Genomic DNA, 15,072 nt, shown 5'->3' with positions numbered 1-15,072 from the left:
ATCATTCTGTACTTTTATCTCCTAGTTTTTACTATCATTAACAATATTCTGGTTGTTAATGATATTTACTTAATTCATTGTTATTTCCTTGTGATGATTTCCTAAAATAGAATTGCTGAGTCAAGAGATCGGTAACATTTTAAAGCTTTTGGTTGCTAAACTTCCCTTGTGCCTCACTGAGTATTGCCTTTTCAAAATCTCAAGCAATTTGAAATATGAAAATCATATCTCGGCCAGGCACAGTGGCTCACACCTGTAATCCCAGCACTTTGGGAGGTTGAGGCAGGCAGATCACTTGAGGCCAGGATTTTGAGACAAGCCTGGCCAACATGTTGAAACACCATCTCTACTAAAAATACAAAAATTAGCTGGACATGGTCGTGGGCACCTGTAGTCCCAGCTACTCAGGAGGCTGAGGCAGGAGAATTGCTTGAACCTGGGAGGCAGAGGTTGCAGTGAGCTATCACACCACTGCAATCCAACCTGGGCGACAGAGCAAGACTCCATCTCAGAAAACAAAATAAAAAATCTCAAGCAATTTGAAATATGAAAATCATATCGCATTTTAACTTTCTTCTCCTTTAAAAAAAGTTTTAATAGACTTTAGTCTTAAATTTATAGAAAAATGTTGCAGAAAATACAGAGAGTTTCCATATGCCACTTCTTCTCACCCACACAAACACAGTTCTTTCATTAACATCTTGCAGTACTGTGGTATTATAGTTACAATTGATGAACCAATATTGCTAAATTATTATGAACAAAGTTCATAGTGTATGTTAAGGTTCACTCTTGTGTTGTATGTCCTATGGGTTTTGACAAAGATGTAAATGTCATGTATTCACCATTACAGAATCATGCAGGATAGTTTCACACAACCCAAAAAAATCCTGTGCTCCACCTCTTCATCCTCCCTTCCTTCCCTGATCCCCAAGCAACCACTGATCTTTTTACTGTCTCTATAGTTTTGACTTTTCCAAGACATGATATTCTTGGAATCATACAGTATGTGAAATTTTTAGACTGCCTTATTTCACTTAGCAATATGCTGTTGAGGTTCCTACATGGATTTTTGTTCCTTGTTAGATTGCTTCTTTATCACTTAATAATATTTCATTGTATGTATGTTTATCCATGCACCCATTAAAGGACATTTTGGTTTATTACAATTTTTGGTACTTAAAGCAGTTATAAACATTTATGTAAAGGCCTTTTGTGAACATAACTTTTCCATTAATTCATTTAGTAAACACATAGACATGCTATTGCTGGATAATGTTAAGGCTGTGTTTACCTAGACCAAGTCAAGAAGAACAGATTTCTTAATAATTTAGGGTCTTTCTATTCATAAACATGGATTATCTCTCTATTTATTTAGACTGTTTTTTATTTCTTTGGCTAGAGTTTTATAGTTTTCCTCATATAGATCTTGTATATTTTTTGTTAAATTTATACCTAAGTAGTTCCTTCTTTTTTGGAGTTAATATAAATGGTATTGTGTTTTCATTTCAAATTCCACTTGTTCATTGCCTGTATATAGAAAAGCAATTGACTTTTGTATATTAATCTTGTATCCAGCCATCTTACTACAATCACTTATAAGTTCCAGGAGTCTTTTTGTGGATTCTTTGGGATTTTTTACATAATTATGCCACTGACAGACAGTTTTATTTCTTCCTTCCCAATATTTTATTTCCTTTTCTTGTCTTATTCCATTAGCTAGGACTTCCAGTATGATGCTGAACAGAAGTAATGAAAAAGGGCTTCCTTATCTTGCTCCCAGTCTTAGGAGGAAAGCATCTAGTTCTTGACCATTAAGTGTGATGTTTAGCTGAAGGTTTTTCATTGGTATTCTTTATCAAGTTGACAAGTTCCCTCTATTACTAGTTTACTGAGAGTCTTTGTCATGAGTGGATGTTGGATTTTGTCAAATGCTTTTTCTGAATCTATTAACGTGATCATATGATTTTTCTTCTTTAGCTTGTTAATGCAATGAATTACACTAATTGATTTTCAAATGTTGAGCCAGACTTATATACCTTGGAATAATAATAATCAAGTGGAATAAATATCACTTGATTGTGGTGTGTAATACTTTTCATATGTTGTTGGATTTGATTTGCTAATATTTTGATGAATATTTTTGCATCTATGTTGATGAGAGATACTGGTCTGTAATTTTCCTCTCTTATAATGTCTTTATCTGGCTTTGGTATTAGCGTAATGCTGGCCTCATAGCATGAGTTATAAAGTGTGTCCTCTGCTTCTATTTTCTCTAAGAGATTGTAGAGAATTTGTATCATTTCTTCCTTAAATGTTTGATAGAATTCACCAGTGAACCCATCTTGGCCTGGTACTTTCTCTCTTGGAAGGTTATTAATTGTTGATTAAATTTCTTTAATGGATAAAAGCCTATTCAAATTATCTACTTCTCCTTATGTGAATCATGTAAATCATGTCTTTCAAGGAATTGGTCTATTTTATTTATCAAATTTGTTGGCATAAAGTTGTTCATAATATTTATTATCCTCTTAATGTCCATTGAATCAGTACTGATGGCCTGTCTTTCATTTTTTTAGTTTTTTTTTTTTTTTTTTTTTGAGATGGAGTTTCACTCTTGTTGCCCAGGCTGGAGTGCAATGGCACGATCTTGGCTCATCGTAACCTCCTCCTCCCAGGTTCAAGCAATTCTTCTGCCTCAGCCTCCCGAGTAGCTGGGATTAAAGTCATGTGTCACCACGCCTGGCTAATTTTGTATTTTGGTAGAGACGGGGTTTCTCCACGTTGGTCAGGCTAGTCTCAAACTCCTGACCTCAGGTGATCTGCCTGCTTTGGCCTCCCAAAGTGCTGGAATTACAGGTGTGAGCCACTGCGCCCAGCCTCATTCTTGATATTAGTGCTGTCTTCTCTTTTTTTCTTGGTTAACCTGTCTAAAGGTTTATCAATTTTTTTTTTTTAACAGATGGGATCTGCCCGGGCTGGTGCTGGTCCCAAACTCCTGGACTCAAGTGATCCACCTGTCTCACCTTCCTAAAGTGCTGGGATTACAGGCATGACCCACTGTGCCCGGCCTATCAATTTTATTAATCCTTCAAAGATACAGCTTTTGTTAATTTTATCTATTAATTTCCTGTTGTCAATTTCATGATTTCTGCAATAATTTTTATTTCTTCTGTTCTGCTTCCTTTTATTTAATTGCTCTCTTTAGTTTCCTAAGATGAATGCTTAGATTATTGATTTTAGATCTTTCTTTTTGGCTGTGCACGGTGGCTCACACCTGTAATCCCAGCACTTTAGGAGGCCAAGATGGAGGATCCCTTGAGCACAGGAGTTTGAGACCAGTCTGGGCAACATGTCAAAATCCCGTCTTTACAAAAACAAAAAACGAAAATTAGCTGGGTGTGGTAGCGCTCACCTGTAGTCCCACCTACTCAGGAGGCTGAGGCGGGATGATTGCTTGAGCCTAGGAGTTGGAGGCTGCAGTGTGCCATGATCATCCCACTGCACTCCAGCCTGGGTGACAGAGTAAGAGAGTGAGATCCTGCCTAAAAAAAAATTAAAAAGTGTTTTATTGCCCACGATGCATTCTATCTTGGTGAATGTTTCACGTGAGCTTAAGAAAATATGTAGTCTTCTATTGTTGAATAAAGTAATAAATGTCAATTTGATCCTGTTAATTGATGATGGTGCTATTCAGTTTCACTATATTCCTACTTATTTTCTGACTGTTATCTGCCAACTACTGATTGGCAGGGGTGGTTGAAGTATCCGACTGTGATATTGGATTTGTCTATTTCTCCTTAAAGTTCTATCAGTTTTGCCTCATGTATTTTGGCATTCTGTTTACATTTGAAAAGTGAAAATAGTATCTAATTTAAATTTCTTCTTCTTTAAATTAGAAGTGAGGTTGAATTATATATAAAGTGGTAGTTTGTTTTTCATATGTTTTTTATTTAATGTTTTTGTAGGTTTTGTTTCTGTTTTGTTTTTAACAGACTGTGTCCTCTTTTGTTTATTTTGCCTGGAATGTGATGCATCCTTTCCGTCAGCAAGGAAAAAAATAATTTTCTGGCTCCCATAACCATCATCTCCTTTTTTCTTGTTTTGGGGCTTTGGTCTTTCGAGGTGCGCTTTTCATTTTGATATCAGCCACCCACAACTTCAATTATTCTTTTTACTGTCTTGAATGATTTTAATTCTGCCTTTGTATCTTTTGTTTCTGTGGCAGGCTTTGTTAGTGCAAGGATGGGAAAGTACAGGCCATGGAGTGAAATTGTCAGAGTTCGGATCCTGGCTCCAACACTTAATACTGGGGTGACTTTGAGCAACTTCTTTATCCTCCTCAGTTCCCTCAATTATAAAATGGGGACAATAATAATAGTAAGGATTAAATGAGTTAATACATGTAAAAATACTTTGAATAAAGCATGGTATGTAGGAAATGTTAAATAAATGTGAGCAATTTTATTGCTATTATCATCATCATCTCTTAGGGCATCCATCTCACTTTTTATCTCATCTTGTCTTTTCATCTTAGTTTGTTTTTCCTTTTTTGCTTTCTGTTCCTGCTTCATTTAAAGTTAGGTCTTTCTGCACCTTATTGAAGATACCAAACAGTTTTCCTGAAATTTGGCTTCAAGTCCTGCAAAAACAAGTTTCAGCCTGGCACGGTGGCTCGCCCCTGTAATCCCAGCACTTTGGGAGGCTGAGGCAGGTGGATTTCTTGAGCCCAGGAATTTGAGACCATCCTGGGCAACATTGTAAAACCCTGTCTCTACAAAAAATACAAAGAAAAATTAGCCAGCCATGATGGCACACACCTCTATTCTCAGCTACTTGGGAGGCTGAGGCAGGAGGATCACTTGAGCCCAGGAGGTTGAGGCTGCAGTGAGCTGTGATGCACCTACAGCCATGCGTGACCACTGCACTCCAGCCTGGGTGATACAGTGAGATCCTGTCTCAAAAGAAAAAGAAAGTTCAGAGATAAATTATTCAGGTTAATCTCCATATGACATTCCTTTACATTGCAATATTTTTTTCACAGGCTCCACATGTTGTTTTCTGCCTTCCTCATCCTTCAAAATCAATCTGTTTATGCTCTGTCTGCAGAGATGGTACATGAATTGCCCTTGACCTCACTTTCAGATCACTTTGTGGTGACCTCTTTCCTTTCCTTCTGCAGCTAGAGAGTCAATGATGTGATGTGCACAGCTCCCACTCAGTTTCTAGATAATTTTCCCTTATAATATCTCCTGTCCACAACGATGGCCTCATCTCCTCCCTCCATGCCCTACCCAGCAGATGCAGCATAAAACAAACCATGATTTTCATCGTGTCCTGCAAACTGACTTCTTTTGTGTATATCCTCTTTTGCAGCAGCTTGTTTTTTTTAAAAAACAAAACAAAACAAAAAAAAACAAAAAAAAAAAAACAGGTTTTGGCCGGGCGTGGTGGTTCATGCCTGTAATCCCAGCTACACAGAGGCTGAGTTGGAAGGATCGCTTGAGCCTGGGAGTTTGAGACTAGCCTGGGCAACATAGCAAGACCCTGTACTTTCTTATAACCATATTCAAAAGCTTAAAATGCCTTTCTAGCCTGTCCATGAGGGCCCATGATGAAAATTCTAATGCCGAGTGCTCCAGGAAGGCCTTCCCTGACTTTATGGGACATTGTTTTCTAGGATTTTCATGATATGCAAGACATGGCATAAATGGATCTCTCAAATAAGTGCTGGAGGAACTACACTGGGAAGCATACACTAAGGAAAGCAAGCAGACCCTTGTGGGATTCTGTCAATGTTGGGCTCACATTGTTTGACATGGACCTTTGTTTGTCAACCCAGGGATCCATTTGTCCCGAAAGTGCTTAATTTCTCTTCATTCACTCATTCATTGTGTGACCTTTGAAAAGTCACTTACTGCTCAGTTGAAAAGTTTACCTCATTTTCCCAAGTGCAGGAGAGGAAAGCAGAGCTGGGGTAGGGGGGGTAGGGGTGATAGAAGTCATTTACCAATTCATTACCAATCCATTCCTGAATTTCTGCTATTCTCCTCTTTCTACTCTCACACCCAGACCAGAGTTTAAGTTATAATCACAACACAAAGAGAACAGGAGCCATTATTCTGATGAAAACCAAGAAGAGCTAGAGCTAAACATTACCAAGTGCCTTCTGTGTGCCCAGAACTATGCTAGATGTTTGATACATATATCTCACTCACTCTCCGTAGTGATTTTCCGAGTTTGACATAAAATCAGGCCTATTTTACAGGTGTGTAAATGGTAACCTTAGCCAAGGTCACACTGCTGGTAAATCTACTTTTACTAGTTAAATCTTTTCTCTTCTCTTCTCTTCTCCTCTTCCCTTCCCTTCCTTCTTTTCCTCCCCTCCCCTCCCCTCCCCTCCCCTCCTCTCCTCTCCTCTCCTCTTTTCTTTTCTTGACAGAGCCTCATTCTCTTGTCCAGGCTGGAGTGCAGTGGCGTAGTCACGGCTCATCACGGCTCACTGCAGTCTTAGTGCCCCAGGCCCAGGTGATCCCACCTCAGCCTCCCAAGTAGCTGGGACTCCAGGCACATGCCACCATGCCTGGCTAATTTTTGTATTTTTTATAGAGACAGGATTTTGCCATTTACTCAGCCTGTTCTCCAACTTCCAGACTCAAGTGATTCATCCACCTTGGCCTCCCAAAGTGCTGGAATTATAGGCATAAGCCACCACACCCAGCCAAATCTTTTCTCATTAGCCTAAATGTTCCCAAATCAAGCCACAAATTAGCTCTAGCTCAACATCAGCAAAGGAAGAGGGAAAAATATTTTACCAATTCAGTCTTTTAGTATCTCCTTTTTATTGTAAAAGCGATTCTATTCTATTAAATAAAAATTATCCTTAAGTATCTCTTTGTTCATACCACCGTATCACAGTCATTTCAGTTTTCAAAAAATCCGTTTCCTTGCTTGTCTACCTGATTTCATCTCTTTACATGGTTACCATAATGGTATATATTTCACTCTGTAGTCTATTTTTATCTATCATTGTTTCTTAAAAGCATTTTCTATGCTAATACTTAGCTTTTGCAACTATCATTTTAATGACCAAAGAATATTCCATCCATCTTATAAGAGCTAATTTTACTTGTCTCCTAATGTAGGATATGTAAGTTATTTCTTTGCTATCACAGATGGTGTTGCATACTCATGTATACAGATTATTTTCATTGTGAATTATTTCCTTATGATAAATTCCCAGAAATGGGATTTCTGACTTAGAGAACATTCTCGTCGCTCTGTAAGCATTGTGCCAGATTGCTTTCTAAAAGTGTTGCACCAGATTTACTTCTAGGTAAGGCTGCAGAGTGACGTAGAATAACAGAAGCTCACTTTTAAAATACCTAACAAAATCAGCAACAACAAACGTTTTTTAATCCTAAAAAGTACCCAGCAATAACCAAAGAATGAATTACAACTTAATTCTACAAGCATTGTGAAGTAGTGAATAAGGAGAGAAAACAAGATTCTGGCCTGGCGTATCTCCCAACTCAGAACCTGCCACCCCTCTGTCTTGCTAAGAGTGATGGGGAGAGGAAAGCAGGTCAGTTGACAACACTCTGAGTTCTCGCTGGAAATCACCAACGGAGAGGAAAGGGGACCATGATGATGGCTGGGCAGCTGCACAAAAGGTCTAAGAGAAACTCTCCATCATGGAAGCCCCTGTGTGATGCTGGAGGACCTTAGTAGGGATGGGAAAAAACGCCAGGTTTTGCATCTTCCAGAACCCTATGCTGCGTGGGGACATGAGGTGAATCCTTCGGGAGTGGGGCACATCACTAGCTAGGATGGGAGTGAGATGGACCCATGGTTCAGGAAATGTAGACAGATTTCAGAGAGAGGGTACAGTGCTCAGATTTTCCAGCAAGGGTAACTGAGCTTTTCCCTTTACCCAACCCTATGGATTAAGGCTATAGGAAAGAAAGCCACACACCATTCCTTAAATAGTGGCCAACACTGTAGATAAGATAAACTGGCCCCAGATAATGTTGGGAAACATGTCAAGAAGAATTTACCCAATTATATCAGAGCAGAATGGTAAGGCAATCATGCACACATCAGAGAGAGAGAGAGACAGAGGAGAGAGAGAGAGAATGTTTAACAGAAAACATGAACCAAGAGCCAGAAAATATTTCTGTTGAAAGAATTTTGTAATAATAGAAGTTTAAATTTTTAAGTTCATAAATGAATAGTATGGTATACTGGCAAAAGAACAGAAATATAGATTAATTGAATAGAATTGACAGTCCAGAAAGAAAACTCTTGCATTTATGGTGACTTGATTTTTGACAATGGTGCCAAGATGATTAAATAGGAAAAGAATGATCTTTTCAACAAATCGTGCTGGAACAACTGAATTATACATGTAAAAGAGTGAATTTGTAGTTCTGCCTCACACTATAGTGAAAAATTAACTCAAAATAGGTCAAAGACTTAAATGTAAAAGCTAAAACTATAAAACTCTTAGAAGAAAACATAGATGCACATTTTTATGATTTGGAGTAGGCAATGATGTCTTAAGACAACAAAAGCACAAGTGACAAAAGAAAAAATAGGTAAACTGAACATCATTAAAATTAAAAACTTTCGTGCTTCAAAGGACAACATCAAATGAAAAATCCCACAGAATGGGTGAAATTTATTACAAATTATGTACCTTATAAGGGACTCAAATTTAGAATATATAGAGTGATGATAATTTAATAATAAAAAGACAAATAACACTATATAAAATGGGCAAAATATCTGAATAGACCGTTATTTACAGAAGATATACAGGCCAGGCACACTGGGGCTCATGCCTTTGGGAAGTTGAGGTGGGCAAATCACTTGAGCCCAGGATTTTGAGACCAGCCTGGGCAACATGGCGAAACCCCATCTCTACAAAAAATACAAAAATTAGCTAAGCATGATGGTGCGTGCCTGCCTGTAGTCCCAGCTACTTGGGAGGCTGAGGCAGGAGGATCACCTGAGCCCAGAAGGCAGGGGTTGCAGTGGCCAAGATCATACCACTGCACTCCAGCCGGGGTGACAGAGTGAGACCCTGCCTCAAAAAAAAAAAAAAAGGATATACAAATGGCCAATAAGCCCATGACAAGATGCTCAATGTTATTAGCCATCAGGGAAATGCAAATTAAAACCACAATGAGATACTTACTTTACAATAACTAGGATGGGTGTAATTAAAAAGATGAAAAACAACAAGTATTGGTGAGGATGCAGGAAGATCAGAACTCTCATCTACCATAATGGAAATGTAAAATGGTGCAGTAGCTTTGAAAAAGAGGCTGTGACACTTCCTCCAAAGTTAAACACAATCCAATTTAATTTAACTCAAAAGTTATACAATCCAATTGTGAGCAGATCACTTGAGCTAAGTTCAAGACCAGCCTGGGCAACATAGCAAAAACCCCGTCTCTACAAAAATTAGCCAGACGTGGTGGTGCATGCCTGTTGTCCCAGCTACTTGAGAGGCTGAGGCAAGAGGATCACTTGAGTCCAGGAGGTTGAGGTTGCAATGAGCAAGATTGTGCCACTGCACTCCAGCCTGGGTGACAGCTAGGCCTGGTCTCAAATAGACACACACACACAAACACTTTTTTAAGTGAAAGAAGCCAGTCGCAAAAGAACACATATTATATGATTCCCTTTATATAGGCAGAATAGGCGAATTTATAGAGACAGAAAGTAGATTAGAGGTTGCCAGGGTATGAAGTGGGTGGGAGAGGGATTTGGCAGGTGACGGCTAAGAGGTGTGGGGTTTCTATCCAATGTAATGAAAAGTTCTAAAGTTGATTGTGGTAATGGTTTCACAACTCTGTGAATATTAATATATTTACATGTACATGTGGTTTTGGTATGCTAAAAGTACAACTGAATTGTACACTTGAACTAGTTGGATTATATGATATGTAAATTACATTTCAGTAAAGCTGTAGAAAGTTTGTAGATGAAGTGATAAAACTACTAAATTAGAGAAATAGAGGAACTGCAGAGTCAGAGAAACAGATTGGGAATAAAATAATGCCATTAATGATCTAATAAGTGAATTAGAACCAGCGAGAAATAAAGTATGCAAGGCTAGACATCTACTATATTGCTTAGAAATAAGGTTTGAGATAATTACACATACAACAGAAGAGAAAAACATTGAAGTAATCAGAGACAATACAATTGATATGGAGACCAAATAATGCTAGTTCCTTAAGAACTCCAATCAATAGTATAAATAATATATACAAAGATACAGATGCAGAAACTTCTCTTAAAATGAACAGTTGTTTCTACCAATTGTAAGAGTATGCTATGCTCTAAGGAAAACTGATACATAATAATTGACCAGAAAATATAACATAATTAAATTATTGGACTTCCAGGTAAATATCTGATGGGCCTCAGTTTCTGCACAGCAATTTAAAATGCAAAAAAAAAAAAAAAAGAATAGAGCAATGTCTGCATACCTTAGAAGACAAGAAAATATGACATAGACTATTACTCTCACTGTTAAAATACAAAAGCAGCAGGCGGTCATTCTCAAACACGTAAGAGCTGAGAGAGTTGAGCACCTATAAGCCCCTTCTTGGAAAAAAAAAAAAATGAGGCTGGGCATGGTGGCTCATGCCTGTAATCCCAGCACTTTAGGAGGCCAAGGCAGGCAGATTGCTTGAGCTCAGGAGTTTGAGACCAGCCTGGGCAACATAGCAAGACCTTATCTCTACAAAAAATAAAATTATTTGCTGGGTGCGGTGGCGTGTGCCTGTGGTCCCAGCTACTTAGGGGGCTGTGAGAAGATTGCTTGAGCCCGGGAGGTTGAGGCTGTAGTGAATTGTGATTGCACCACTGCACCACTTTGACTTAGGCAATGAGTGAGAACCTGTCTCAAAAAAGAAAGAAAAAAGAGAAAAAGAGAGAAAGAATGAAAGAGAGGAAGGAAGGAAGGAAAGAAGGAAGGAAGGGAGGGAGGGAGGGAAGGAGGGAAGGAGGGAAGCAAGGAAGGAAAGAAAGAAAGAAGGGAGGGAAGGAAGGAAGAAGGGAGGGAGGGAAGGAAGGAAGGAAATACAGAAGGAGAGAGGGAAGGAGGGAGAGAGAAAGAGAAAGAAAAAGAAAAAGAAAGAAAGAAAAGAAAGAGACGAGAGAAAGAAGAGAAAGAGGAAGAAAATTAGTCAACTAAGAGATGAATTAAAACAAAGAACTCTTAAGTGGTCTGTGTTAAAAGCCCTGAGCATTGAATCTATTTAAAAGTTTGAGCAGTGAATCTATTGAAATATAAACATAAGACTAAGGAATGGGGAAATTATGGTTGCAGAAAAAAACATAAATGAATATGAACCCTGACAAAGTGAAAGTTATAGTGTCAATGACAACAAAAGGAACCAGAGAAGGGGAGCTGGAAGGAAGAGTTAATCACCTCACAGTTCACAAAGGAATCAATGAAATTGGTCTAAACTTGAATCGTTTGTATTCACAATTGAAATGGTCTGATATCAGGATTTGCCTTAAAATACTCCAAAGAAGGAAGAGGGGAAGGGAAGGGGAGTGGGGAGAGTTGAGGGAAGAGGAGAAAGGAAGGATGGAGGGAGAGAAAGGGAAGGAAAGAAAGAGACGGGGAAGGGCTGGGCACAGTGGCTCACACCTGTAATCCTAGCACTTCGGGAGGCCAAGTCGGGTGGATCACCTGAGGTCGGGAGTTTGAGACCAGCCTGGCCAACATGGCAAAACCCTGTGTCTACTAATAATACAAAAATTAGCAGGGCGTGGTGGCGAGTGCCTGTAGTCCCAGCTACTTGGGAAGTTGAGGCAGGAGAATTGCTTGAACTCGGGAGGCGGAGGTTGCAGTGAGCCGAGATCATGTCACTGCACTCCAGCCTGGCAACAGAGTGAGACTCCATCTCTAAAAAAAAGAAAAAAGAAAAAGAAAGAAAGGAAGAGAGACTAAAGGAAAAATGAATATGTTGCTGGTTGGAGGTAGTGAAATGGATGAGACAAAAATGGCAAAATGATCATGTTGAGGCTGGATAATGCGTACAGGACGGTTTATTATACTATTCTCCTTACTTTCATTTTTTAAATTTTTCTCACAATAGAAAGTTAAAATACAACAAAATAACATTAAATGACTTATAAAGCATAATGACTTTAATCCCTTAATGACTTAAAATTATGAAATACCTTTTAGGACCCAGTATCTCTTGTAGTGACAAAAACTGTACCTGAAAGTCAGCAGGTCCTTCAGTTTCACTTCAATCTCCTTTTCTTTTGCTAGATTTAAGTAAAATTAACTTTAACATAGTTATTTTAAAATAGTATATGTCCAATGAGTCCCCTTCTTATAAAATCCTTTCTTTCATCTATCTGTCTTTCCATCTTCAGTATGTTTGTGTGTCTAGAAAGAGGGCTAGAAGGATTGCCATCAAAAGTTATCTCTGGATGTGGGATTTTGACTAACTTATTGTCTTCTTTTTTTGTTCTTTTTTTTAATTGTATATATTTATTGATTTATTTTTGAGACAGAGTCTCACTCTGTTGCCCAGGCTGGAGTGCAGTGACACAATCTCGGCTCACTGCAACCTCGGCCTCCTGGGTTTGAGTGATCCTCCTGCCTCAGCCTCCCAAGTAGCTGGGACTACAGGCACGTGCCACCATGCCCAGCAAATTTTTTTTCATTTTTAGTAGAGATGGGGTTTCACCCTGTTGGCGAGGCTGGTCTCGAACCCCTGACTTCAGGTGATCCACCCACCTCAGCCTCCCAAAGTCCAGTGATTACAGGCGTGAGCCACTGTACCTGGCCTTGTTCTATTTTAATACTTGCTGTTTACATTATGAAAACTAATTTAATAATTTGCATAATTAGCACCTATCATTTTTACACAAATAATAAAGTCACTACTCTTTAAAAAGTGTTGTTTCAGTTTATACACTTTCCAGCAATGTATAAGTTTCACCACAACTATGCCAGTACTGGTAGTTACACATTTTCATATGCTGATAACTGAGGGACTTAAAATCCTCAAATATGGGAGGCAAGTAAAGCCTTCATGTGCTAATGATCTGTTTTGTTTCTTTGGGTCCAGGAAGCATCTATGATTTTTATTTTATCAAACAAGCTAGTGGACATTGGGAAACGTGGACACAGTATATCACCAAAGAGGAGGAAAAAGTTCCAGCTGGTGCAAAGGTATAAAGAGAATCATTGGCCATGGAACTTTGGTTTCCAGAATCATCCAAATATTCTCTCAGGTGGAAGAATTAACAGTCTTTGCGAGGAGTTTTAAGGGCTTTCTTTAGAAAAATATTTAAACATGAGCTGCAGTGGACCTTCAAAAACATGGGCTTTAGAATCAGAGAGACACAGCATCCTTTCTCAGCTTCAATTTACTCAACCAAAAAATGGCGGTGGGGGGAACATTTATGGTTGCAGAGGTTGGAGGTGTTATACATGAACACATGGCACATGCTAGGGGCTACATCAGTGTTTGTTGCTATTCTGATTATTGTCGTTATCAGTAATACCAGGTACTGGCCAGGCGCAGTGGCTCACATCTGTAATCCCAGCACTTTGGGAGGCCAGGGCAGGAGGATCACCTGAGGTCAGGAGTGCAAGACCAGCCTGGCCAACATGGTGAAACCGCATCTCTACTAAAAATACAAAATTAGCTGGGCGTGGTGGCGCATGCCTGTAATCCCAGCTACTTGGGAGGCTGAGGCAGGAGAATCGCTTGAACTCCAGAGGCAGAGATTTCAGTGAGCCGAGATCGCGCCATTGCACTTCAGCCTGGGTGACAAGAGCAAAACTCTGTCTCAAAATAATAATAATAATAATAATAATAATAATAACAACACCAGATAGTCATCAGTGTGCTTCTCAGTTATCTCAGCAAAAAAGGATTCTTTGAATCCTCAGAGAAAGATTTTCTTGATCAGAATTCTCTGAAAAGTAGGTTTTGATTAATAAGTTTTCTGATTAGAAAATGATACACCTACAACTCCTGCTCTTTTCAATCCTTGTGGAACATTTTTTCAGAGAGCTTTTATGTCCCTGTTAGTAGAATCTAGTGGGCATAGTTTATCTTTCTGAAGTGACTGGAGATTGTTCAGGCCCTGGGTGGAGTGGTAGGTGGTGGAGAAAGTACAGATATTGACAACCAAGTCAGACACCACGCAGGACCACAGCTGTATGTGTAAGGATGTGTCAAGCAGGGTGAATGTGTGCTGACTTCAGGACACACCTTGGGGGCTGAGTGTTGTAAAGCAACCCCCAGCACTGAGGTCCTAAACTTTAATTCTCCAAAAAGAGCTTAGTCACTTGAGCTCCAGGGATTTGCAATCTTGCTGAATTAACACAAGTAAAAGAGTCCAATGAAGAAAATATCTTCAGTTCTGGAGATTTTTCCCTTGTCAAACAATTGTCCTAGTTCCTGAAAATAAACATCTATGAAACCCAACTTGCTTTAAACTCCCAGTCTTAGTAGCAAAATACGCATCTTGAACCTAGTTCTGCATTTAGCCTCACTTGCTGGCTATATGGCTTTGGATAAGTTAGCCAGTTTCTTCGAGCCTCATTTATTTCATCTGTGTTATTACATACCTGCCTTAGAAGGTTACTGGGAAGACTGTAGGGGGTAATACAGGCAAAACACCCATACTTAAGCACCTGTTACTTCTCTTCTTCTCAACTTTAATTCCCTTGTCTCATCTGTTTCTTTTCCTTTGATCAAATTGCTTGTAGAAAGAAGCTGAGCCTTTTTCTACCAGTATACATAGGGCCATTATGTCGCACAGACCTAGGTGGCGCTATTTGCATCACGGTCCAGTTTTGCTTTAGAAGGCACCATTGACATGATCCATGGTGTGAATGGTACTCTCTGTAGTTGTACAACACAGTGGCCCCAAGGTCTAGTCCCTTTCAGCCTAGACATAGAAGGAGACTTCAGTGTATGATATAATCATCTTCCCCCATAGAGGGACAAAATGTAGCCAAATGGCTGATGACAGGGTTCAAACTCAGAGAATCCAAGCCAAGGTCAGGTGCCC

At 39.2% G+C, this 15,072-nt stretch overlaps 1 protein-coding gene across 16 annotated transcripts in view, besides 1 other annotated feature; it reads left to right on the top strand.

Annotated features, from left to right (window-relative positions):
* DNAH3 (dynein axonemal heavy chain 3) overlaps positions 1-15,072 on the top strand; it is a 226,349-nt gene that overhangs the window by 143,140 nt on the left and 68,137 nt on the right. For 14 of the 16 annotated variants that reach the window (XM_017023432.2, NM_017539.2, XM_047434349.1 and 11 more), the window contains one exon: positions 13,113-13,216. The exons of the other annotated variants lie outside the window; for them this stretch is intronic. In XM_017023432.2, coding sequence (XP_016878921.1) covers positions 13,113-13,216 — 104 coding nt within the window. The remainder of the gene's footprint in view (positions 1-13,112; positions 13,217-15,072) is intronic. 16 annotated transcript variants of the gene reach the window in all.
* Positions 14,823-14,882: a silencer, noted in NCBI's record as "silent region_7247". NCBI's record gives its function as "represses an Ori minimal core promoter by ATAC-STARR-seq in GM12878 lymphoblastoid cells {active_cell/tissue: GM12878}" and the evidence as "EXISTENCE:reporter gene assay evidence [ECO:0000049][PMID:35858748]".

This window comes from Homo sapiens, chromosome 16 (genome assembly GCF_000001405.40).
Source record: "Homo sapiens chromosome 16, GRCh38.p14 Primary Assembly".
Taxonomy (NCBI): Eukaryota; Metazoa; Chordata; class Mammalia; order Primates; family Hominidae; genus Homo; species Homo sapiens.
This window is presented reverse-complemented; position numbering and strand designations above follow the sequence as displayed.